This window comes from Homo sapiens, chromosome 3 (assembly GCF_000001405.40).
Source record: "Homo sapiens chromosome 3, GRCh38.p14 Primary Assembly".
In the NCBI taxonomy this organism is placed as follows: Eukaryota; Metazoa; Chordata; class Mammalia; order Primates; family Hominidae; genus Homo; species Homo sapiens.
Window position 1 is genome coordinate 143111317 of NC_000003.12, and position 24190 is coordinate 143135506.

The following is a 24190-nucleotide window of genomic DNA, read 5'->3' on the forward strand; positions in this document are numbered from 1 at the left end:
TTTTCTCTGCTTCCTCATGAGAGTTGACTTTGATGACTGGTTACTTATTTTATTTTATTTTTTTTGAGATGGAGTCTTGCTCTATCACCCAGGCTGGAGTGTAGTGGCATGATCTCGGTTCACTGCAACCTCCGCCTCCCGGGTTCAAGTGATTCTCCTGCCTCAGCCTCCCAAGTAACTGGGAATTACAGGCACCTGCCACCACACCAGCTAATTTTTGTATTTTCAGTAGAGACGGGGTTTCACCATGTTGGCCAGGCTGGTCTCAAACTCTTGACCTCAGGTGATCTGCCCGCCTTGGCCTCCCAAAGTGCTGGGATTACAGATGTGAGCTACCGTGCCGGGCTGGTTACTTATTTTTAAAGCATTTCTGATCATCTACTAAAACCGCAGTGTTGAAGCTTTTCCAGGATTTCAAATGTTGTATTTCAGAATACAGCAAGGCTCATCTCTCCTGAGCCATTAGGACCAGGTGGTACTTTCACCAGGTCCCTCTAAGCACCCAGTCATCAGGGGCAGGCCCCCATGGAGAGAACAGGCTTGTTTCAGGGAGGAATTCCCAGAAGCTGGAGCTCCAGACAGAGGTGAGGGACAGTGGTCAGCGCAAGGCACACTGGACAGAGCTGACTTCAGTCCTATCTGGTGGGTTCATAACTCATGAATCATGGGAAACTGAGGGGAAAGCCCAGGGGAAAATTGAAATAATTTTCAAAATGGTTCAAGACCACTTTCTAATTGAGGGTAGCAAAAGATGCAGCTTCTACTGTTGGGAAGGTTTGGCAGGGAGCTGTGGAAAGAGGTGACAGAAACTAAGTCTCTTGTTTCTCTGCAGGAGTTTCTCCAAGAAGCTTCTTCCTAGAAGCTCATCATCCCTACTCACTTTGGGGTGAAAATAGCTTTGCAAAACCTGCTCAGATGAGTCAGCAGGCCAGACCTCCAGAGCGGTGGATGTAGTCCACACGAAATTGCCTTTAGTGAACTGAGCATTGATGTTATACCATTTGATTGCATTGATTTGGTTTATAAGAACCAGCACATCCCTAGCTGACTCTACAGTAGTTTTTATTGTAGAGATATATTGAAGGACATAGTCTACTTTCTGTAACACATAATTCTTTTATAAGGGGCCAGAGTAAGTCAGTCAATAAATATGTATTGAGCACTTATGTGCCAGACACTGGGCTATTCCCTTTATTGAGAATAAAGCAGTAAATAAAGAAATCACATGAGTGAAGCTCACATTATTGAAGGAAGGTAAGATTTTTTTCTTGAGTCCCTATGTCAGGCAAAGCTGTGAATCTCTTAAGCGATTTTACAATTTTCCTTCTTCTTTTTTTTTTTTTTTTTTTTAGACAGGGTCTCACTCTGTCACCCAGGCTGGAGTGCAGTGGTGAGATCTTGGCTCACTGCAACCTCTGCCTCCCACCTTAAGTGGTTCAAGCGATTCTCCCACTTCAGCCTCCCAAGTAGCTGGGGTTATAGGCATTACCACCATGCCTGGCTAACTTTTATATTTTTTGGTAGAGACAGGGTTTCACCATGTTGGCCAGGCTGGTCTCGAATTCCTGACCTCAAGTGATCTGCCTGCCTTAGCCTCCCAAAATGTTGGGATTACAGGTGTGAGCCATCACACCCAGCTAATTTTCCTTTTTTACTATGATTACTGGGAAACTCAAAGCGGTTTTGTTGTTGCTGTTTGCCTCTAGCAAATGCAAAACCTTATGGAATGAATTGTTACACAGACCATACCCCTGGATTTATGTTATTTTCCTTTTTATCATTTTTTTTTGTTTTATTCTTTGTGAACTACCTCACATACCTACTATCTTAAAAAAAAAAAGATAGAGGGGGCTATAACTAAATAATAGTAAAATAACCCAGAAAGTCTTTGGGACAGAAATCAAGAGATAATTATAATGATAATTAGATGTGTTTTTGGAAGTAAATCCAATGAGAAGAGTACACTCGTTATTGTAAAGGCAATCCTGGCTGTCAGGGGTCACAAGGGAGCAGCCCAGCCAGTGATGGTGACAATCAAGCCCAAGGAAAGATGTGAATGATGAGGCCACTGATGTTGATGTGCGGCAGAGACGGAGTTCCTTAGGATGACTGGCTCTCTAGAAACCAGAATTTAAAAGTGGGGATTCAAAGAGAAAGCCCCATTGTAAGGACAGATGGAGAACAAGGCACAGGGACAAAAGCATGAATGAAACCAAATCTGTAATTAGGCAGTAAGCCAGCCTGTCAATTAGAGTTTTTTTTTTTGTTTGTTTGTTTTGAGATGGAGTCTTGCTCTGTCACCCAGGCTGGTATACAGTGGCACAATCTCGGCTCACTGCAACTTCTGCCTCCTGGGTTCAAGCGATTCTCCTGCCTCAGCCTCCCAAGTAACTGGGATTACAGGTGCATGCCACCACGTCTGGCTAATTTTTTGTATTTTTAGCAGAGAAGGGGTTTCACTGTGTTGGCCAGGCTGGTCTTGAACTCCTGACCTCAAGTGATCCACCTGCCTTGGCCTCCCAAAGTGCTGAGATTACAGGCATGAGCCACTGCACCCAGCCAGAAATTTTTGATTGTAAATAACAGAAATGGACGGTGAGTAACATAAGCAGGAGGCGAAAGGGATTTGGGGAAGCATTTGGGGTAGCTCACAGACTTTAAACAAAGAACAAACAATAGTCTTAAAAAGGGTAGGGTCCCTTCTGAGAGATAATGAGCCATTGCTTTAGGGCTCTGCTGTTGGCCCGAGAGGGCAGCAACCATTTTCCTTCTTATGAATCTCTCTGCTAAAGATTCAGATTGCTTGGCACATGGTGGGAACTCAATACATATAGGATGACCGAATGAGTGACTGAGTGAATGAATGAATGCAACTTTCATGGAGAGAACATCTAATTGGTTGAGCTTGGGTCATGTACCTGCCCCTTGGGAGGAGGGGAGGAGTACTTTGGCTGAAGGTCCCACCAAATCCACGTACAATGGGGTGCATTGGTTCAGATACTGTTACCACAGAAAAGAATGGATGTGGGTCAGGCAGAACCCAATAGGATGCCTACCACAGGGAACAGAGCAATGGCTGGCAGACTAGAGAAGTCAGTGGTTATAGGTGTGGTGGCGGAGCATCTCCTGGTCCAGCTAGCTAGCTCCTGTCCTCTAATATCTGGAAGGAAAAAACTGCAAGAAGAAGCCACAGGCTTTGTTACCAATCTTCCAGGCTGGGGTGAGACCCGGGAAGTAGACAGCTGGGCTAGGTCTCAAAGGTGAAGATGCAGAAAGGCTGAGGAACTCCAAGTGGAGTCTGGGGAAGAGAGAGGGGTGCTCAAAGACAACACCAGAGTGACACATTTAGAAATTAGCTACATATGTTCTTAGAGAAGCAAACCTGTGTGCGCTTCTCCCATAACATCCATTTTGTGCTTCTTCTTTTTCTTATTTCCCCTTCCTGCCCCCTGCCACCACCTCCTCCTTTTTTCTGAGACAGGGTCTTGCTGTATCACTCAGGCTGGAATGCACTGGCACCTACATGGCTCACTTCAGCCTTGAACTCATGGGCTGAATGAAGTGAGCCTCCCACCTCAGCCTTCGAGTACCTAGGACTACAAGCCTGTGCCACTATGCCCAGCTAATTTTTAATATTTTTTGTAGATATGGGGGTAAGGGGTAGTGGGAGGGTTTTGGGGGGCGGGTCTCTCTATGTTGCCCAGGCTGGTCTCAAACTCCTGGGCTCAATTGATCCTCCTACCTTGGTCTCCCGAAGTGCTGGGATTATAGGAGTGGGCCACTGTGCCCAATCTGTGCTTCTTAACAAATTGATTTTTAAAGTCTATGTTAAGGAAACCCCTTCAGGTTTTGTAAACCAGGCACACCCCAATCAGGTAGACAGCATAATCGCATTCACTGGGCTAGACCTCATCCCCACTCAGGGCTTCTGCACTTGCAGTATCGTCTGCATGCAACTCTCATCCCTCAGTTTTCATCTGGCTGCATCCTCATTCTTTGCAAGGGTCACCTCCCCTTTGCAAACCTTACTTTCCCAATTTAAAAATAGCTGTTTCCAGTCACTCTCCATCACATTAATATTTTATTTCTTCTATAGTACTTACCATTCTCAAAAATAATCTTATTTGTTTAAATGTGTGTGCACTGAGTATCTCCCACTCTAGAGTGTAAACTTCATGAAGGTAGGGTCTAGGCCTGTCTGCTTCACTTTTGCATCTCACATAGCTAGACCAGCACCTGGTACATTATAGGTGCTTACTAAATATTTATTGTCATCCTTATATTTCTGGGATAAACCCAAATTGGTTCTAGTTTATTGTCCTTTTTTCCCCACTTGAGTGGATTTGTTTTGCTTATATTTTATTTAAGAGTTTTATGTATAAATTAATCAGAGACAGTACCAAATTTCTTCTCTGAAATCCCTCTGTAGTTATTATCCCCTTTGAATGAGTTGGGGGAAATATTCCCTCTTGTTCTCTTCTCTGATAGAGATAAGACTGAAACAATCTAGTTCTTGAAAGTTTGGTGGAACCCTCCTTTAAATCCCTCTGGTAATAGTGTTGTTTCAATTTGTAAGTACTGTTTTTCTTCTTTTTCTTTCTTTTCCTTCCTTTTCTTTTTTTTTGAGACAGAGTCTCATTCTGTTGCCCAGGCTGGAGTGCAGTGGCGCGATCTTGGCTCACTGCAACCTCTGCCTCCCGGGTTCAAGCAATTCTCCTGCCTCAGCCTCCCGAGTAGCTGGGACTACAGGTGCGCACCACCAAACCAGGCTAATTTTTGTATTTTTAGCAGAGACGGGGTTTCAGCCTGGTCTCAAACTCCTGACCTCGGGTGATCTGCCCAACTCGGCCTCCCAAAGTGCTGGGATTACAGGTGTGAGCCACCGTGCCCAACCTCTTTTTCTTTTTTTTTTTTTTGAGACTGGGTCTCACTCTGTTGCCCAGGTTGGAGTGCAGTGGCACCATTATGGCTCACTGCAGCCTTGACCTCCTGGGGTCAGGTAATTCTCCCATCTCAGTCTCCCGAGTTGCTGGGACTACAGGCATGCACTGCCACACTTGGCTAATTTTTTTGTAGTTTTTGTAGAGATGGGGTTTTGCCATGTTGCCCAGGTTGGTCTCAAGCTCCTAGGCTCAAGTGATATGCCCACCTCAGCCTCCCAAAGTGTTGGGATTACAGGCATGAGCCACCGTGCCCGGCCATAAGTAGTCTTGTATCTTTTTGAGATTGTTAAAGCAAGTTGTTTTTCCTTCCTGTTAGAACTTTATCATTTCATCTCAGTTTCTAAACTAAGTAGAGCGGTTACTCTTGGAGGTTTTTGGGCTGTGTAATGGGTTCATGCATATTCATTATATTAAAACATAGGACATTTAAAAGGGCCACTTGGACTAACAATGGCAGCATATCTTAAATCAAGGATTATGAGTAACCTGAATCTATAATCTCAAGTTCTATTGAAAATGCATATTTGTTCAAAATATGAGGGAGTGAATCTATCTTGGTGCCCAGGGGCAAACATTTTCCAAAGGTGAATCTTCTAGGATTCACACAGATAGGCCCAAATGGGAACTGTTCAGGTAACCCAGCCTTGCATCTTTCCCCAGTTCAGACTCTGGAAGAAAGTCCTTGAAGATCTCTGGACATTTGTCCAGGATTAAGCAAAAGCCACAGCAAGTTTCTTTCACTCGCATCAGTGTGAAGAGACCACCAAACAGGCTTTGTGTGAGCAATAAAGCTTTTTAATCACCTGGGTGCAGGCGGGCTGAGTCCGAAAAGAGAGTCAGTGAAGGGAGATAGGCGTGGGGCCGTTTTATAGGATTTGGGCAGGTAAAGGAAAATTACAGTCAAAGGGGGTTGTTCTCTGGTGGGCAGGTGTGGAGGGGGGGATCACAAGGTGCTCAGTGGGGGAGCTTTTTGAGCCAGGATGAGCCAGGAGAAGGAATTTCACAAGGTAATGTCATCAGTTAAGGCAGGACCTGCCATTTTCACTTCTTTTGTAGTGGAATGTCATCAGTTAAGGCAAGGACCAGCCATCTGGATGTGTACATGCAGGTCACAGGGGATATGATGGCTTAGCTTTGGCTCAGAGGCCTGACAGTTTCCAATAGAACATAACAGGCAGCAGAGAAGACAGAGACTGAAAGAGCATCCTGGGGGAGATGGAATTGTGACAAACTAAACCAGTGAGCCGAAATTAAGGCTAGCCCTGTGGCATGACTGGCTCTTGTGCAAGTGACATTATTATGTGACATATTATATGTCTGGGTCATTACTATGCTAAAATAAGTAGATTAAAATGAAAGGAATTTCCAAACAAATGCGGGAAGGAAGGCATTATGAAGTTTTCAGATGTCATTAGCTATAACAAAGTTCAGAATTAATCATGACACCATGCAAAATGGGAAAAATTTGCAAGCAAGGAGAGGGTGGAGATGCCAGAACCCGTAAATTTATGCCAGCTGAGCACTGTGGGGGCACCTGGCAAATGGATTTACTATTTTGCCAACACCAGTAAAGTGTTACAAAATTGCAAACGGAATTATTTCTATGCAAACAATTGTTTTTAAAAAGGGTCCCTACATCGACTAATGCAATTCAGTTTTTTTCTGGGTAAGCACAAAGCCAGAAACTAAATGAAAAATATTAGAAATTATTTTTCTTGGAATCATGTTGAATATTAAAATTGAGATTTACTTTCCTCCCCAATTCCCTCTCTCTCCCATCAGTCTTTTCATGCACCAATGTCATTTTAGTTTTCGTGGTAAAAGAGGTGGTGAAAAAGGGGCAGGGGCATTTGAGAGAGTAGGCGAAGGGAGGCTGGGGATTCCAGAAAAGGAAAAGATGGGGAGTCGCTCAATTAAACTCTACCACCTTCATCTGTTAACAGGGATTCTTGCCTGTCTCGACCCACTTCCAGAGGCAATGCCATATTATTTGAGAAAGCTGGATATAAAATTTGAGCTCTGCTGTCCTTGTCCCAATCCCCCTCCCCAGGAGAAAAAATAAGCTGAACTGTACTCGTGACATTATGGGTTTTTCTGGAAAACAAGGATAAATAAGTTTTTTGAACATTTTTCTCCCCTGAAACTAAATCCGTAAGAGAGTTAAAAACCCGTGGAAAGCGAGTTAAGTCACTTTTCAAGTCTTTGTACTCAGGGGATTCTGTAAGACTCATGGAAGAATAATGGCGCAAACAGCAATATTTTAATGTTAGAACGGTCCTCTGAAAAGTCTGCCCGAAACGCTACAAAGATAATTGTGCAGTAACTTCTAAAAACTCTACTGGGACAGGAGGCAACAAAACTCCGGATCAGCGAGAGCTCTGTTTATCCGAGGGTGCTGAGCCTCAGGCCCCACGGAGATTCCCTTTTCGGCACTTGGAGGCCTGAACTCAGGTCTAACCTTTCGTGTGCGCGCTCTGATACTCAACCACCGTTCAGTCTCCGGAGGCTGTTACAACTGTCCCCATTCTACAGATGAAGTTGAGGCTACAGCTTAGTGTTCTTGGGGAGGGAGGGAGTTGGGGGGAGAGAGAGACGCTTTTCCTCATAACCTTAAACAAAAGTACTTAAACCTAAAGCAACTGAAAAATGATTTTCTTTCAACAACGGTGTTTCCTTTGGGGTCAAGTTCTTTGATCTCATCTACAAAACCAAGAAGCGGGACAAGTATTTTTCTGCAAATTAGAACGGGGCGTTCCCCTCCCCCATCACCCCAATTCCAGAGGACGTCAATCACAGTGGACGCAGCACCGCGAGCGGAAATGCGGAGAGCATCGGGGCTCCGCATGTGGGGCACAATGAAACAAGAGCAGCCCCGGCCAGAGGTCCAGTAAAGCGGAAAGACGGTCCCGCCCGCACACCCCTCCGGAAAACTGAAGCGTCTCCTCTGACCCCCAAGGTCAGAAAGATTTATTACTTCCTTCGAGAGGGCGCAGCCACAGACCCACTAGAGAGGGCGGGCAGGGTGTCGGAAGCCAGAGAACGGCGCTCCGCGTCCTCCCACCGCTCCAGGGCGCAGAGGTGTCCTCAGTGCCCGGAGAGGTTGGCAGTGTCGGCCCCGAGGGAAGCGTGGAGCGGACGGCCGACAGGGGATTTCTGCCCAAACTTCATCACCAACTCTTTCTGAGAGCAAAAACATGGGGCCGAGTCCGGCAGCTGCACGCAGAATCCAACTCTCTGGCAGCTCTCGGCACCGACGAGCTCCAGATCCCGCGTTCGCATCCCGGCGCTTTGCGCGCAGAGCTAAGCCTTCGGACCCGTGGACTGCAGCCCCCGCGCGTCGCGGTAAAGCGGGTCGCGTCTCCAGCCCCCGAGGCGCAGCGACGGTGGGAGCCGGCTCGGCGTTGGGGGCGGGGGCGGGGCCGGCGAAGGGGGAGGGCTGCGCGGCGGAGGGGAGGAGCCGCGGCGACAGACGGCGGCGCGCACCAACCGGGCGCCGGCTGGCAGGAGCCGCGCAGAGGCTGGTCCGAGCGCGTTGCGGGCGCCCGGCGTAAGGGGAGTCGGGTAGCAGCATCCTCCTGGGCGCCGCTTTCGCGCGGCGGCGGCGGCTGCGGCGGGGTCTTTCTTTGCTTAAATACCTCGTTGGCCAGAAGCGCTGGTACCGGGGGCGGGTTGGGTCGGGTCGGGCAGTGCTGCACACCTGGGTTTCCTTGCCTAGAGCTGTGTGTTCGGGGTCCTTTGGTCCAGTCGGAGGCTGCGGAGCGGCGGGGGTTGCCTGCGCTGTCCGCCCGGGCATCCTCCCGGTGATGGAAGCAGCCGCCGCCGCCGCTGCGGGGTCGCGCTGTGCCCCATCCACCGCTGCCAGAGAGGTGGGAAAATTCGCCGCACGGAGGCCGAAAGCGAGAGGGGCTGCGCCGCTATGCCGGGAGCTGAGTCCCATATAAGCCGCCCCCAGCCATCGCCCCCAGCCGGCTTCGTTCCCCTGAGCGAGACAGGAAGCTGCGGTCCCGAGAAAGCGGAGGAGACGTCGCTGGAGCCGGGAGGCGCCGGGTTCGGCGGAGCGCGGAGCGGGGCTCTGGGCCGCGTGAAAGTTTTTCTTCCCGAGCCGCAGGGCGCCCGCTGCCCGGAAACTGCCCAGGGATAAGTCGGCCGACTCCCCAGACCCCTCGAAGGTGCGGGGACCCCCAGCGGAAGCGAGAGGGAGCGAAATCGAGGAACGAGTGACAGCCGGACAGTCCGCCGGGCGGTGATCCGGGGCCGCTCCCGGGCGCGCCCTCGGCTCCAGGTGAGCGGAGGAACCGGGCAGAACCGAGGGTGGGCGTTACTTAGGAGGAGGAGGCTGGGAGGGAGATTGGGGCGCATCCGCTCACTCCGCTTCCCCTCGCAGGTCCTACCCGGAGCCGCTGCCATGGGAGAGCCAGCCTTGGGCGCTGGGGACCAGCCGCCGCGCCCGCCTCGGAGTCGCGGCCCGAGTCCCGGCGCCAGCAGCCAGCCCGCTGCGTCCCCTTCCCGGGCTGCAGGGCTGCCTCCGCCGCGCCGCCGGCCCGGATTGTGCCTGTGATGAGCCGCAGCCCGCAGCGAGCTCTGCCCCCGGGCGCGCTCCCTCGGCTGCTCCAGGCTGCGCCTGCAGCCGCGCCGCGTGCCCTGCTCCCGCAGTGGCCCCGGCGCCCAGGACGCCGCTGGCCCGCGTCCCCTCTCGGAATGAAGGTGTTCCGTAGGAAGGCGCTGGTGTTGTGCGCGGGCTATGCACTGCTGCTGGTGCTCACTATGCTCAACCTCCTGGACTACAAGTGGCACAAGGAGCCGCTGCAGCAGTGCAACCCCGATGGGCCGCTGGGTGCCGCAGCGGGGGCAGCCGGAGGCAGCTGGGGGCGCCCAGGGCCGCCTCCGGCCGGGCCGCCCCGTGCTCATGCCCGTTTGGACCTCCGCACTCCTTACCGCCCTCCCGCTGCCGCCGTCGGGGCGGCTCCTGCAGCCGCGGCAGGGATGGCGGGGGTTGCGGCCCCTCCAGGCAATGGCACTCGGGGCACCGGGGGCGTCGGGGACAAGCGGCAGCTGGTGTACGTGTTCACCACGTGGCGCTCTGGCTCGTCGTTCTTCGGCGAGCTATTCAACCAGAATCCCGAGGTGTTCTTTCTCTACGAGCCAGTGTGGCATGTATGGCAAAAACTGTATCCGGGGGACGCCGTTTCCCTGCAGGGGGCAGCGCGGGACATGCTGAGCGCTCTTTACCGCTGCGACCTCTCTGTCTTCCAGTTGTATAGCCCCGCGGGCAGCGGGGGGCGCAACCTCACCACGCTGGGCATCTTCGGCGCAGCCACCAACAAGGTGGTGTGCTCGTCACCACTCTGCCCCGCCTACCGCAAGGAGGTCGTGGGGTTGGTGGACGACCGCGTGTGCAAGAAGTGCCCGCCACAGCGCCTGGCGCGTTTCGAGGAGGAGTGCCGCAAGTACCGCACACTAGTCATAAAGGGTGTGCGCGTCTTCGACGTGGCGGTCTTGGCGCCACTGCTGCGAGACCCGGCCCTGGACCTCAAGGTCATCCACTTGGTGCGTGATCCCCGCGCGGTGGCGAGTTCACGGATCCGCTCGCGCCACGGCCTCATCCGTGAGAGCCTACAGGTGGTGCGCAGCCGAGACCCGCGAGCTCACCGCATGCCCTTCTTGGAGGCCGCGGGCCACAAGCTTGGCGCCAAGAAGGAGGGCGTGGGCGGCCCCGCAGACTACCACGCTCTGGGCGCTATGGAGGTCATCTGCAATAGTATGGCTAAGACGCTGCAGACAGCCCTGCAGCCCCCTGACTGGCTGCAGGGCCACTACCTGGTGGTGCGGTACGAGGACCTGGTGGGAGACCCCGTCAAGACACTACGGAGAGTGTACGATTTTGTGGGACTGTTGGTGAGCCCCGAAATGGAGCAGTTTGCCCTGAACATGACCAGTGGCTCGGGCTCCTCCTCCAAGCCTTTCGTGGTATCTGCACGCAATGCCACGCAGGCCGCCAATGCCTGGCGGACCGCCCTCACCTTCCAGCAGATCAAACAGGTGGAGGAGTTTTGCTACCAGCCCATGGCCGTCCTGGGCTATGAGCGGGTCAACAGCCCTGAGGAGGTCAAAGACCTCAGCAAGACCCTGCTTCGGAAGCCCCGTCTCTAAAAGGGGTTCCCAGGAGACCTGATTCCCTGTGGTGATACCTATAAAGAGGATCGTAGTGTGTTTAAATAAACACAGTCCAGACTCAAACGGAGGAAGCCCACATATTCTATTATAGATATATAAATAATCACACACACACTTGCTGTCAATGTTTTGAGTCAGTGCATTTCAAGGAACAGCCACAAAATACACACCCCTAAGAAAAGGCAAGACTTGAACGTTCTGACCAGGTGCCCCTCTTCTTCTTTGCCTTCTCTTGTCCTCTTTCTCCTATTTCTTACCCTGTCCTCCACCTGCCTTCCATTTTGAAGTGGGATGTTAATGAAATCAAGTTCCAGTAACCCAAATCTTGTTTACAAAATATTCGTGGTATCTGTGAACATGTTAAGAGTAATTTGGATGTGGGGGTGGGGGTGGAGAAAGGGGAAGTGGTCCAGAAACAAAAAGCCCCATTGGGCATGATAAGCCGAGGAGGCATTCTTCTAAAGCAGACTTTTGTGTAAAAAGCAAAGGTTACATGTGAGTATTAATAAAGAAGATAATAAATAATATTCTTTTTAATATTTGCCTCCATTACTTTGGATTCACCTGTGTTACTTGTCCTCAGCTTCAGATAGAATCTCCTTCCCCTCCCTCGTTTCCATTTTTCCAGTCTCTTTCCTGAAAGGCAGCTAAACTGGGTGGGAGCAATTTTTGCCTCCTTGGTAATAACCTGGGGGATGTTTTCTCACATGTAAATCTCAGCCTGTTAGGTGTCCAGGAGTGAAACACATCTTTGTATTCTAAAGGCAGAAACCAAACAGGGCAGTGGAAGAAAAAGCACACTACTCTCTTCAACTTTGAACACAGGAAGAAGCAACTCCTTCAGGACTTGAAGGCATTTGGTTTTTCATTCCTCTTCAGTTAAAATGGGGAACCTTGAAGCAGAGACCAATGTTTTGGTGCTGAGGCTGGTTCAGAAAAAGGATTTTTAAAAAAAGTATGTAATTTTTAAAAGTTCTGATGATTAGAACACAGACCTCAGGAAAGTAGCGTGAACATACTGCTGGCGATGGTAGCAGCTTCGTTGGTTTAGCAAAGTGACAGAAGTATCTATTTGGAGTGTTTTTCTGACCCTGACACGGTATGTGGAGGTGGATGAAAGCAGCGAAGTTTCATCTGAGAACCGTAAGGGTTTTCCCTTTTCTTACTTGCTTCCCATTTAAATCAGTGCAAGAGAGAATATGAATTTATAATGCTTTACTTGGGATGCCTGTGGAATATGTTGCTTTTCTTTATCATGTTTCCTAAAAGTAAATTTGCAAAGAAAGTAACATGCTGCAGACAGTATAAGGCTTCAGCCAAGAGCTTCTTTTAGATATGATAATGAATTGTGGTAAAGAGGAAATGAAAATGAACTAGTGTGTAGGATTTTGAAATTTGGTATTTTCCAGGGAGAAAACCGTTACATTTTCCTGTAGTGGTTATGATGTTGTGTCCTGAACCCATTTGGTACTGAAACATTCTGCAGAATGTTATACTATGAGAAGAAATTGTGAAGCCCAAATGGGAACAAGAGACAGTGTAGTTGTATATGACAGTAAATACAGTACAAGTTCACTATCATCATGGTTTTATTTCACTGTGATTTTTTATGAGATCTCTGAAAGCCAACATGCATAGGTTAAATGCTGAGAATTTTATTTTAGGGAAAAGATGATAAAAATAATCTGTACGTGGGGAATATTTTAACACACAATGATTCTTAAGTATAATTACCATTGCAATACAAAATCTAGCTACGCTGGTAAGAATTCCAAGGTAAAGAAGCATAAAGGTTTAAAAAGGGGTATATTTAGAAATGGATTTTATAACACAATCTAGAATGCTTATTTCTTAATTTACTAAAATAGTTTTTAGTATTGTGTTTCTGAAGCCAGATTACATCTATAATACATTGATCATGTTTTCCATATTTTTGTGGTAGTGCCTATGCTGAATTAGCTTCACCAGCAGTAGAATATTTGTAATAGATTTAATTTAAGAATACTTTAAAGTTAAATGAACAAAATAAATACTAATATTGGATGGCTATAGATGAAACAGATTTAACAGGAAATTAAGAGAGCAGCATTAAAAAGCAACCACTCTGAATAAAATAACCATTTATAAACAAATTTTGTGTGGCATTAGAATCAGCTCTTAACAATTGCGGTGAAATTCATGCCTAGTTGTTGAGTGAAGGATTTTCAAGCAGTGAATTCATTCTTCTTTCAGCTTATCTAAGGACTTGGACTGTGTTAAAGTAGAATTATGATGTTTTGGATCTTGTATTTAAAACAATATTAGATGCTAGATAGAGCCTTTGCAGCTGGCAGAGCATTTGTGGCCTCTGCTCAGATGAAATTTTAAGCTAAACACCAACAGATCCTCTGCTTGCTCTGTTTGAACAGGGTTTCCGTTCGTAATCTTGTTTTGTAGCAGCTGCATTCTCTCCACTCTGCCACTCCTGTGCTCTGTAATTTGAAAAGGTGAATTGTTGCTCCTGGAGATTTGTACCTAGCTGCCTTCTAGGAAAGTGAGACAGGTGGTGTTCCCACTAAGGGCTGAGCTAGTCATATCAGTGACATTCAGCTTCCGAAGGTTTGAGAAGGAGAGAGAAGAATTTTTGGCGTTAACAAGCTTCTGTCAACCCCTAGTGCAAGCAGACCTGTGCTATGACAAATTGCAACAGAGCCTGTGACCATTCTTGAGGCAGCAAATATGAACGAGATCCTTTCACATTTCCCAAGCTGGCAATATGTCCGTCAGCAAGAGAAAATATTCTTTAGAGCAGGTTGTCAGAGTGATTTTCATTTTCAAATTCTGCTCAATGATAGCACTCCTTACTTACCGCTTGGCTTTGGAATGCCTTTGTTAATGAGTAAGCTGTATTTATAAAACAAAGTTTACCCAGTGCGTTTAGTCAACAAATTTGAGTTTGGAACAAGGCAGAGGCACAGGCTGGGGGCTTAAATTTCAAGGAGCTCAGAGCCACTCAAAGACCTCATTCAGACTGACAGTGGATACCTTGCAGGCAGGGGCCAGAGCAAATCTATACCCTTCAGTGTCCACCACATAGTGCATGATAAATATTTATTAAATAAGTGAATGAAATATGCAACTATCAAATTTTGAAAATACTTGGAAGGGAGAGAGTGGAAGAGTGTATTACCTGTGTGGGGAAAATGCCAGCCTGTTCAGTAAAGTTTGCTGAAGGAAATAAGCCATAGGCTCTATTTAGATGTGGGGAGTGAGCAATAGGAATATCTTCAAGATTTCCAGGGCAACTGTTTATAGACTATTTCCCAGCGATGAATTAGAGAAAAAATGCACAATTTCTAAATGTGGAGAGGTAAATGTTTCAAAGTAAGGAATTTGATTGTTACTGTTTTCCCACTTGCATGAACACCATAAGGGCGGGGATCAGAACAAACCTGCAGAGCAGATGTTGTCCAGGGGTCTCAGGGAGGGCTAAAAAGCTATTTATTTTTGCAGAAGTCATGTGGCACTTATTGTTTTGAGTGCTGCAAATGTGTAGTTTGATGGACTGTGATGGAGCAAATGTTGTCCAGGGGTCTAAGGGAGGGCTAAAAAGCTGCTTTTTTTTTTTTTTTTTTTTTTTTGCAGAAGTCATGTGGCACTTATTGTTTTGAGTGCTGTGAATGTGTAGTTTGATGGACTGTGATGTGTTAGGTTGGTGCAAGCGTGATTGTGGTTTTTGTCATTGAAAGTAATGGTAAAAAACTGCAATTACATTTGCACCCACCTAATAGATTTTCTGCAGGTGTAGGGATGGTTACTTTCAGGAAGTTTGTCCTATTGTGGATGCTGAGCGAGACAATGGCTGCCTGTTCCCATACATTCCCTGCTTGGCCACAGCCAGTTTTGTCCAGGATTTCTGTTGTACACAGTACAGTTGCAGCTGGATTATGTGATTGGTTTGAAATTAATGTGAATTTGGGGGAGGCTATTAAATATTCCCTAGGTCTTGAAACGCAGACTCTAGAGATGACTCTAGGAAGAGCAAGAGGGAAATGAAAAGCGTGTCTCATCATGTAGGCATGGTAAATAAGGACAAGGTGTCACTTTACCATCCTCCTCCAACTTTCTTTCTTCCCTACACACAACACACATGCACACACACATACAATTGAGTTTCTGCATCGTCTTGAAGAGATCTGGATGAGAGAATGTTCTAATCCCAGCTAACAGATGCGTGGTGAGGCACACTTTTGATCTCAGGCTTCTGGAGAGTGAGTGGTCGGCCAATTGTTATATTAGAAAGCTTGACAGTTCTGCGTCAGGATCCAATGGGGATAGGTAGAAAATGACAATCACAATTTGAGGAATGACTTGAGGTGTGTGATGGGATGTCCTGAGGTAAATGCGCAGTTTATAGACCCCTTTTGTCCTTCACCTTGAGGAAACCCTTTTCAAATCTGTCACAGCTAAGAAAACAATTCATTCAGACACTTTCCCTGCTTTCTGTACATTCAGTTGCTACTTTTGCAGTTCAAGTATGAGCCACTGAGCTGCTCAGGTACAGGCTTTGGTACAAGTATTTAATAATTGAAATTACAGGGCTTGGCTTTTATTACATCTGATGCAATTCTGCACATCCTTAATCAAATTATGCTAAGAAAATGTTGAACTTTGCATAACACATTAAGTTTATAGAATTGGAAACTGTATGAACCAGTGTTTGGGGTAGGGGGTGCTGGTATTGTTTCTAAATGAAGGAGCTTTGAAGGAGCAGGAGCCTGTCTGTACACATGGTAACAGGATGATAAAGGATGGCCAAGGATAAACCTTAACTTTTGGTCAAACCAGTTATCTGTAATCAAATATCAAAAGTATTTTTGGGCTGCTTGAACTTTTAGGTTGGTAATAGTCACCCTACCAAGTGAATGGCAATGAAAATGATCACTGGGGCTAAAAGCTGTACTCAGAACCAGTCTGTAATGGCTCCCATCCCAGGTGTAAAGACAGGGCTTGATAGAAATTCACCTTGAGGCAGTTAGTCTTCTAGACAGGATCAACTACATAATTTGCAGGGCTCCGTGCAAAATGAAAATGCAATGCCGTTGTTGAAAAAACAATTAAGCCTTTCAAGATGGCAGCAGCACAGAATGAAACCAAGTTTGGGGTCCTTCTGAGTGGGGGGCCCTGTGTAACTGTGCAGGTTGTATATCCCTGAAGCTGGCCCTGTTTCCAGATGCAGAGGATGAAATGCCTGGCTATAGGAGACAGCAAATAATGGTGTCCTACAAGTTCTCGGAAAATGAGTGCAAAGGTATGAGTTATTGTGGGTAACTATAATGAAAGCAAAGACAAGCAAGCGCACTTTGCATGATGGAATTCCAAAGAGGTCAGTGCATACATGACAAACAATCCTTGATGATTGCAGCAAGAGATTGACAGTGCCCCCTCAATCATTGGTTGGGCTTGAGAACACTCAGAACTGATCCGGCTGGAGGCTGAGAGAGCGTGTGTTGTTCCTGGGATTCCTCTCAGAAGAACAGGTCAGATGTCTTGCATGAGGATGAAGAACATGGTGTCCTTGTCCTCTGGCTGTTCCCTTCTGTAACTTTTGTAGGGCTCTCCCTTGATTTGCGTAGTATGTAATAGAGACAGAAAGTCTATGCATGGAAAAGCAAAAGGTCAAGTCACAATAAGGTCAAGGAGTAAATGTACAAGATGTGCTAAACAAACTGATATACCTCTTTATTATGTTAAGTATAGTCAGCTAAGTTTTTTTATTGTAGGCTTGATATGTCCCATTTTCCTCTGAATAACTTCTCCACGCTCTCTACTGCACCCCCTGCCTCCCATTTCTTCTCCACTTTGTGAATCTCATTATTAAGACCCTGGATCTTTTTGAAACTTTTATTCATCAGCCCTGCTCCAAGATGCAGAAATGCCTTTCTGTCCTGTTATTCCTCCGACTGCCTCCTGCATAGATCTGTCAGTGTGTGCTGCTACAGATTGGAATTGTTTGTTTATAGGCCCGTTTCCTCTCTTGTCCTGGACTTCATATGTATGGGGCAGACAGAAGCTGAAAAAGCAAGGCAAATTAATATAGACAAAAAGGAATACCAAATAATGCCCATGGAAGGCCTCAAATGTTTTTCCACATTAATGTTTGAAAGAGAAACAAACAAACTGAAGGCCCCAAACGAAAGGTAACAACTGAATTACAGTCCAACACATTTTTTGAGTTGAATAGGAAAATGTATTACGGTCATGTTGGCTGAGGCTGTATTTGTTTTTGACATGTAGAGGTCATGGCCAGTATGATCATCTTTTAACCATTTCAGGAACTGAAAAATTTTTCAGAAACAATGTAGAAGTCTAAATATTACATTTCCATTTTCAGATGTCCCAGTTGCTCTGGCAAGCTCCCAGTCTTTCTATGAATGAACTAGCTCCTGGGAGGAATTAAAATGTTTCATTTCTCATATTGGTGCTCAGTATTTTTACATGAAGGATGCTGTTACATTATTCCTCTCTAAAGGAAAATAGGAATGAGAACATATCTTCTTTCTGAGATAATAACATTCATATCAATTGTTTTTAGTCCTGTTATTTAACCAGACCTACTTGCTGGTGAGACCAGTATTCTCCCAAGGATGTGAGTTCTGAGTTCACATTATTTAGGTTAAATCTTTACTTCACATAGTTTCTCATTTATATTTTCACATTTCCCAAGTGACTTCATGTGCTGTGCTCTTTATAACTTTCTATCACCATTTTCATTTCACTTTCAAATGCCCTAAATAGCAAGAATGATGATGTGCCAGTCACTGTGCAAAGCATTTTATAAGTGTGATTCCATTGGATTCTCATCACGATTCTGTGAAATAGGTATCATTATGGTCCCCATTTTACAGAAGGGCATATAGAAGGTTCACATGGGTAATTTTCCTAAGGTCACACAGCTAGTGCATGGCAAAGTCTCTTTCTTTTTGCTTGGTACATCAGAGACTACCCTGTTTCCATTTAAGGCATACCAACAAAATAGCAAACCCTTTTTGTCCCAGTCAGTGCTTTCTGAGAAACTCATCCTATGGCATTATGCCTTCAGACAAGGAGCAAGTGTTTTCGGTATCTTTAGAGATGCATTTTTGTGCAGCAGAAAAAAAAAAATTGTTAGTTTAAGTGCCTTTGGCCAAAATTCCTCTTAGAATGACTTTTGTTTAGGAAAACACTGTCCTAGGCTGTTTTAGTGGTGGAAACAAGCTCTGTAAAGAACCCAAACAGGAAATTTGGGGGTTGCGGGAAAGAGCTTGAAAGGAGAGGGGAAGAGGTAAAGGGTGGAATAACAGGGAACAAACAAGACAGGATACTGGAGACCAAGAGGGGAGATCACAATGGCTCTCCCCAGAAGAGAAGAGAATGGCCAATGACTGGAAGAGCCAGGGCCCACGGTGGAATTGTTTGCTCAATTGTGCTGCCGTGTAGTCACCTTGGTTTCCCCAAACCTCAAGTAAAGGTTTCCACATGCCTAGCCTTTAGTGAGTGGTGCTTTGAAAGTTGAAGGGATCAAGGTAGTGACAAATGGGATGACGTGGGGCAAAAACATGCCAGTTCCTACAAGGAGGTGAAAGGTAGGCGAATGCAAATTCACGGAAAGGAAATCTGGAGGTAGAGTTGGTCCATGGAAGTGTTGGTTTACCCCAAGAGGTGTCTGGGAGGGAGAAAAGTTTCTCCCCAACTGTGAGATGATGATTCTAGGCAATCTTGTTTAAATTTTACAGGACAAGGTGGCCTCATCAAAGCTTAAGGAGCAGGGCGTGTCCAGGAGGCTAATACATGGCTTGCAACTCTAAAGGCTGCACAGGCAGGACTCAGTGAGCAGGTGGAGATGTAGCAAAGTTAGGAAATGTTGGCATGCCATAAAAGCTGTGTGATAGTGTCAGCTCAGTCATTTACAAGTGTGGAAGCTGAGGTGCAGAAAGGCTGAATGATGTACTCAGTGTCCCATTCCTAGTTAGAGAAAGAGCACAAACTAGAAATTACAGCCTCTGATTCCCAGTCCAGAGCTCTCTGACATGCTCTCACCCTGAGACTTTTTATTTCCTTGGTTCCTACCAGTCTTTTGGTCATTCCAGTATTTATCAATGTCTTTACAGAATGTCTGGGGATCAAAGAAGAAGTGCCCTTTGGGATTCTCCTCAAACTTTAGTAGGAGATGAGGTTGAAACTAAAGCAGACAGCTGAATAGGGTGGTCTGAGAGTGTTAGTTCAGGTTTTTTGGTGCAAAACGGACTCAACTAGATTGAGAAAATCAGGAAATTAGCTGGAAAAGATGGGAAAGCCCACACAATTGGAAGAACAGTTGAAGAACCAGGTGGGATATTCTGGTTTCCTCCCTCCCTCCCCAATCCCTCCATCCCTGCCCTCCCTCTTCCTTCCGTGTTTCTTTCCCCTTCCTCCTTCCCTCTCTTTCTTTGTTGTATTTCACACATTTAGAATTCAAAGTCCTGGAAGAGAGAGTTGGATCAGCTGAGGCTGGGTCAGGTGTTTGTGCCTTGGCACCTGAGCAAGCTACCTTGACTGATAGTCTCACCAATCTGCACACAATGTGGGCAAGTGATTTTTCACAAGAAAATCAGGCTGCAATGATCAAAAGTAGGGGAAGTGCATGCCAGGTGGTCTTAACCAATAAATGTCTTCTGTATTCATTAATATACTTTACTATTATTCTCCTGCTACGTTGACTAATTGGGGGTTATTTTCTTTAGAGTCCACTACATACAAGGTTTTTCACTCTGCATTGCTATGTTAAAATGTGGGCAGAGATGTGCCTCAGTAGTTAATTGGGCCACCATGCTTGTTGGATATAAATAAGACCATTCACTTACTTAGCCTTAAGTAATGCAGATAAATGGGACACCAGATGGAATTCATGTAGTGAAATTCATGCAGATACTGTATTTTATGATATGCCTTCTTTCAGGGTTTAATGATCATGCCGCCTTATACTTTTATAATGCTTCGTAAGTTTAACAAGTACAGCAGATATTGCTGATTTCCCACCCACTGCCCATTCTCCCCTTCTTTCTTATTCGTAGAACCTTGATTTTGTTCAGGGAGGCAATATGCTCAGCTAAAAATATTTCCCAGTTTCCCTTGTAGGTAGGAATGATCATGTGACAGCCAATGAGATGTAAATGGAATTCTGCTGGGGATATCTGGGTAAGTTTTATATATCTGATATAGGCAGAACTTTTTCTTGCCTGTTTTGTCCTTTTTCTTTCCTTTTTTTTTTTCTGGCTGGTCTGCAGATTGAGTATGGAAGTGGGGCCTCTACCTTGTGACTGAGAGGGAGCCAGGGAGTAAAAGCTGCTTGCAGAAAGAGGAGCCAGGGATATTGATGACATCATGAAGCCACTTCATCAGCGTGGACCACTGGTCTCCAGAATACCTATGATGTGGGAACAATAAACACTTACTTGTTTAAGCTGTTGCTGCCGACTTTGTTACTCACAGCCAAGTACAGTCCTAATGGATACAGCAAATATTCTCATTAATATTTTATTAGATCATTTGAAACTTATGATTACTGGGCAGAAATAGGATTATGATCTTTCTCTTATAGAAGAAGCTGAAACTCAGAAGCTAAGTGACTTGCTCAAGGTCACAGAATATGGTATGTATCAGATTTGATGCCCAATTTAGTGCTCTTTCTACTCAGCCAGTGGTTCTCAGCTGGGTGTGGGACGGTCCCTGCAATCTGGTTGGGGGAAAGATTGGGAGACAGCCTTTGGAATTTTTTTTTTTCCATGACTAGGGAATGGGACTGGCATTTAGTGGGCTGGAAGCAATAATGCTGAATGTTCTGCCTTGCTGAGGACAGTCCCACATAATGAATTGTCCTGCTCCAAATGTTAATAGTGGTCCCCTTGAGAAATACCGAGCTAAATTAAGCCAAAGAAAATTACACACTGACTCAGAACTGAGAATAAGGCTGTCTCATAATGATACTCAATAAATGTTAATAAATGATATCACCAAGGTTGTCATCAGAATCATCATTGCTATTTTGGACATTTGTGGCTATAATGAATTTAAAGGTTGCATGATTTTTTTTCTAGCTACATTCTGCTGCTTTTATTCAGGTGTGGAGAAGATGGATAGTTGGATGATGGGTAATGGATGGGGAAAAAGTAGGAGAAATATTGGACTGGAACTCTATGAGATCAGATATTTGAAATATATATATGGTTATGGTATGATAGAATGCAGAAATGTAGTGGGTAAGAATTCTTGAAACCTACATTTCTGGGGTGGTGAGGTTGTCACTGATCAACAACAAGAGTAGCTATGTTGAATCAGAGCACGAAGATGATAAGAAGCTGAAAGGCCAGGATGTCAAATGGGTTCCTAAAATGGATATTGAAATCATGAGTAATGGTAGAAAGGGTCATGGCGGAGAGGAAGTCATTGATCTGGGCACTCAACTCTTGCAGTTGTGCTTGCTTTTGAAGATGGCACTGTCCTCTCCTACAACTCATTTGGTCTTGTCTTGTTCCAATGCATAAACCAGCTCATTATTCCATCTGTTTGTTCAATGCCTGTGGAAGCTTCTATTCTAGCCCACACCAATGTCTCCTTTCTCTTTGCACAAATTAGCACTCAGCTGCACAGTCTTTTATATTGGCCTCAAATTATTAGATGTGTGTCAGTCTGGTCAATATGGCAATTTAATCACCTTGGGAGCAATTAAACCACACTTTTCATTTCTTATCTCCTGCACAGGAAGTAGTGAATGAACTATTTCTGAAGTGACTGATTTGCACCATGGTAGAGGTAGGGGTGGAGGAGGGTTGACTTAAAAGCCCCCAAGAAACCAATCAGCAGTCCTTTCCAGACTGGCACTGTGTGCACTTTGCCATTTTGCCCTGTATCTGGGGACACACACACACACACACACACACACACACACACATTGATAGTGTTTATCAGGTACCGGTGTCTTTCTCCATGCCCTCATTGCCCCCTGCTCATGCTTCTAAAACACCTCTTAGCACTGACTGTGGGACAGTGGCTGCCCAGCATCCAAGCCCTGATTTTCTTTTGGAAATCTGTCTCCTGCTTCTTTGGTGCATGTGGTTGTGTTGGATCTAACTTCACACACAACTCTAGCATTTGCCATGCTGACTTTCCCAAGACCAAAATGATCGGCTAAGGACTGAGCACATGACCCAATTAGAGCCAATGAGATATCTTGATATTTTTGCTCAGATTTCGGGGTTAGGCAGGCATTCTTATTTAAAGAGGAGAAGACATAAGGACTGGTATCCATGGTGCCTCTAGAAGACAGTCAAATTGTGGAGAGCAGAGCCAAAAGATACGGAGAGAGAAACCACAGACTGGTGGACAAAGGGAAGCTAGGTTCTGGTGAAGTCATTTTAGCCCTGCTAAAATGGGTCTGAAGTCAGCCTTACCCTTGGTTTGCAATTAGAGGAGCCAGTTACATTTCCTTTTTGTTTGAGCCACTGTAGATTGGATGTTTTCTTCCTTATAGTGCAAAGAATCTCAACAAGTGCAGAATTTACCCAGTGTGTTATAAGCTGTTTCTCCTATTACAGGACAAGCTCCTGTAAGGCAGGGCTCTTGTCTTATCTGTGTGCTTCCAGCAGAAGGCACAGTGTCTGGCACGCGGGATGCCTCCAAACCATGTTTATTTTACTGTGTATGGAATGGTCTCACTTTACAGCATTGCTCTTCAAAGTCGGGTCCTTGGACCAGCAGTATCAGCCCCTCTCTAGACTGCCAGATCATAATCTGCATTTATTTATTTATTTATTTTTAGAGATGGGGTCTCTGTCACCTAGGCTGGAGTTCAGTGGCACGATCATAGCTCACTGTAGCCTCGAACCCTTGGGCTCAAGCGATCCTCCCATCTACATTTTAATAAGATCCTCAGGTGATTCCTGTGCTTTTGGGAAGGATTGCTCTACAGACTTATAGTCAATTGCATTTTGCAAACATCTGGCCTGGAGTGGTTGTGCTGGCCTAAAGAGTACCACCTCAGTTCAGTAATTCTGGCTGCATTTCAAGACTCTACCAGTAGGTATCTTGTCCACAGGATTCCATAAATTTACAGATAAGATGCTCAGAAAGCCAGGTGTGGCATCTGCAGTAGTCCAGTCCCACAGAGTGAGGGAGGTGAAAGACCCCCACAGCTTCACCATGGTTGCCTGGATCCCTTCCTGGCACCATGTCCTGGCAGCCTGCCAAAGGACTGAGCATTTGTTTACCTATGAATATGTTAACAACCCACTAGATTCTTGGTTTTGGGAGCCTGGAGAAGGCTAAGTGAAACCTGAATTCTGTCACAGTCTAGGGAATAATACATGTTAAAATGAATTCTGGGCTTCCATCCTGCAGCATTTTAGCCATGTGGCTGGGTCCAGGATTCGATTCTTAGAGTCTTTTCAAGCATATGATATTAGGAGGGATGAAGGCAAACAAGCGTTGTATAAATCACATAAAAAGACTAAGATTTCCATTTCTGAGCTTGTTTTTGGGTGATGAGAAAGTTTGGTTTGTCAGACACCCTACAAATTACATTATGTATAAATGACAATGTAAATCTATTCATTTCTTTTCTGATTTCCACTTATCCCCTTTAGTAAGAATATATTTCTTACCCTAAGAGTTTTACACCCAGCTATAACACATTCATTTTGAGTGAATTTAGAAAAACAGAGTCTCATCTAAGGAACATACATGCATGTTACCATACATATGCATATTAACATAAATGATTTGCACAACTTTTAATAATGTGAGACAGAAAGAATGAGTCACTTCTTTTCTGTAACTTAAGAATTTGCTTAAAAATGCATATTAGGAAGCTTCAAGCTGGGGGCAGGAGAGGAACACATTCATATTCCTTGTAGCTGCGGTTTGCTCTCCTGGAAGTGGGAGTGATGACTAATAACATTGTCTCTATGGGGATGTGGTCCTGGCATTGCCATTGGCAGTTGCCCTTCCGGGCTTTTCAAACCATCTGCAATAACTTCTGTCTTCTGGTCATTACTTCTTCCAGTCCCCATTCTACAGAC

General features: G+C 45.8%; 1 protein-coding gene and 1 long non-coding RNA gene across 2 annotated transcripts, besides 15 other annotated features; one reads left to right on the forward strand and one right to left on the reverse strand.

The window, feature by feature from the left end:
- Window positions 7511-8012: an enhancer, noted in NCBI's record as "H3K27ac hESC enhancer chr3:142837669-142838170 (GRCh37/hg19 assembly coordinates)". NCBI's record gives its function as "activates a minimal SCP1, AML or CMV promoter by ChIP-STARR-seq in primed H9 embryonic stem cells {active_cell/tissue: H9 hESC(primed)}" and the evidence as "EXISTENCE:reporter gene assay evidence [ECO:0000049][PMID:30033119]".
- Window positions 7688-7817: an enhancer, noted in NCBI's record as "active region_20649". NCBI's record gives its function as "activates an Ori minimal core promoter by ATAC-STARR-seq in GM12878 lymphoblastoid cells {active_cell/tissue: GM12878}" and the evidence as "EXISTENCE:reporter gene assay evidence [ECO:0000049][PMID:35858748]".
- Window positions 8013-8512: an enhancer, noted in NCBI's record as "H3K27ac hESC enhancer chr3:142838171-142838670 (GRCh37/hg19 assembly coordinates)". NCBI's record gives its function as "activates a minimal SCP1, AML or CMV promoter by ChIP-STARR-seq in primed H9 embryonic stem cells {active_cell/tissue: H9 hESC(primed)}" and the evidence as "EXISTENCE:reporter gene assay evidence [ECO:0000049][PMID:30033119]".
- Window positions 8013-8567: a biological region, named in NCBI's record as "H3K27ac hESC enhancer GRCh37_chr3:142838171-142838670".
- Window positions 8278-8567: a silencer, noted in NCBI's record as "silent region_14792". NCBI's record gives its function as "represses an Ori minimal core promoter by ATAC-STARR-seq in GM12878 lymphoblastoid cells {active_cell/tissue: GM12878}" and the evidence as "EXISTENCE:reporter gene assay evidence [ECO:0000049][PMID:35858748]".
- CHST2 (carbohydrate sulfotransferase 2) lies at window positions 8455-12698 on the forward strand. The gene is made up of 2 exons (NM_004267.5): window positions 8455-9225; window positions 9328-12698. Exon 2 carries the CDS (start codon window positions 9501-9503, stop codon window positions 11091-11093), a length of 1593 nt encoding a protein of 530 aa, NP_004258.2. The 5' UTR covers window positions 8455-9225; window positions 9328-9500; the 3' UTR covers window positions 11094-12698.
- Window positions 8798-8847: an enhancer, noted in NCBI's record as "active region_20650". NCBI's record gives its function as "activates an Ori minimal core promoter by ATAC-STARR-seq in GM12878 lymphoblastoid cells {active_cell/tissue: GM12878}" and the evidence as "EXISTENCE:reporter gene assay evidence [ECO:0000049][PMID:35858748]".
- Window positions 9058-9107: a silencer, noted in NCBI's record as "silent region_14793". NCBI's record gives its function as "represses an Ori minimal core promoter by ATAC-STARR-seq in GM12878 lymphoblastoid cells {active_cell/tissue: GM12878}" and the evidence as "EXISTENCE:reporter gene assay evidence [ECO:0000049][PMID:35858748]".
- Window positions 9138-9187: a silencer, noted in NCBI's record as "silent region_14794". NCBI's record gives its function as "represses an Ori minimal core promoter by ATAC-STARR-seq in GM12878 lymphoblastoid cells {active_cell/tissue: GM12878}" and the evidence as "EXISTENCE:reporter gene assay evidence [ECO:0000049][PMID:35858748]".
- Window positions 9171-9812: an enhancer, noted in NCBI's record as "H3K27ac hESC enhancer chr3:142839329-142839970 (GRCh37/hg19 assembly coordinates)". NCBI's record gives its function as "activates a minimal SCP1, AML or CMV promoter by ChIP-STARR-seq in primed H9 embryonic stem cells {active_cell/tissue: H9 hESC(primed)}" and the evidence as "EXISTENCE:reporter gene assay evidence [ECO:0000049][PMID:30033119]".
- Window positions 9171-9997: a biological region, named in NCBI's record as "H3K27ac hESC enhancer GRCh37_chr3:142839329-142839970".
- Window positions 9238-9317: a silencer, noted in NCBI's record as "silent region_14795". NCBI's record gives its function as "represses an Ori minimal core promoter by ATAC-STARR-seq in GM12878 lymphoblastoid cells {active_cell/tissue: GM12878}" and the evidence as "EXISTENCE:reporter gene assay evidence [ECO:0000049][PMID:35858748]".
- Window positions 9378-9577: a silencer, noted in NCBI's record as "silent region_14796". NCBI's record gives its function as "represses an Ori minimal core promoter by ATAC-STARR-seq in GM12878 lymphoblastoid cells {active_cell/tissue: GM12878}" and the evidence as "EXISTENCE:reporter gene assay evidence [ECO:0000049][PMID:35858748]".
- Window positions 9638-9997: a silencer, noted in NCBI's record as "silent region_14797". NCBI's record gives its function as "represses an Ori minimal core promoter by ATAC-STARR-seq in GM12878 lymphoblastoid cells {active_cell/tissue: GM12878}" and the evidence as "EXISTENCE:reporter gene assay evidence [ECO:0000049][PMID:35858748]".
- Window positions 10455-11096: an enhancer, noted in NCBI's record as "H3K27ac-H3K4me1 hESC enhancer chr3:142840613-142841254 (GRCh37/hg19 assembly coordinates)". NCBI's record gives its function as "activates a minimal SCP1, AML or CMV promoter by ChIP-STARR-seq in naive and primed H9 embryonic stem cells {active_cell/tissue: H9 hESC(naive and primed)}" and the evidence as "EXISTENCE:reporter gene assay evidence [ECO:0000049][PMID:30033119]".
- Window positions 11928-12057: an enhancer, noted in NCBI's record as "active region_20651". NCBI's record gives its function as "activates an Ori minimal core promoter by ATAC-STARR-seq in GM12878 lymphoblastoid cells {active_cell/tissue: GM12878}" and the evidence as "EXISTENCE:reporter gene assay evidence [ECO:0000049][PMID:35858748]".
- On the reverse strand, window positions 16380-21482 carry LOC105374137 (uncharacterized). The gene is made up of 3 exons (XR_924554.3): window positions 21395-21482; window positions 20570-20618; window positions 16380-16753 (listed from the first exon to the last, which is right to left on the reverse strand). It is a non-coding gene; the product is annotated as an uncharacterized LOC105374137 (long non-coding RNA).
- Window positions 21483-24190: the final 2708 nt, after the last annotated feature.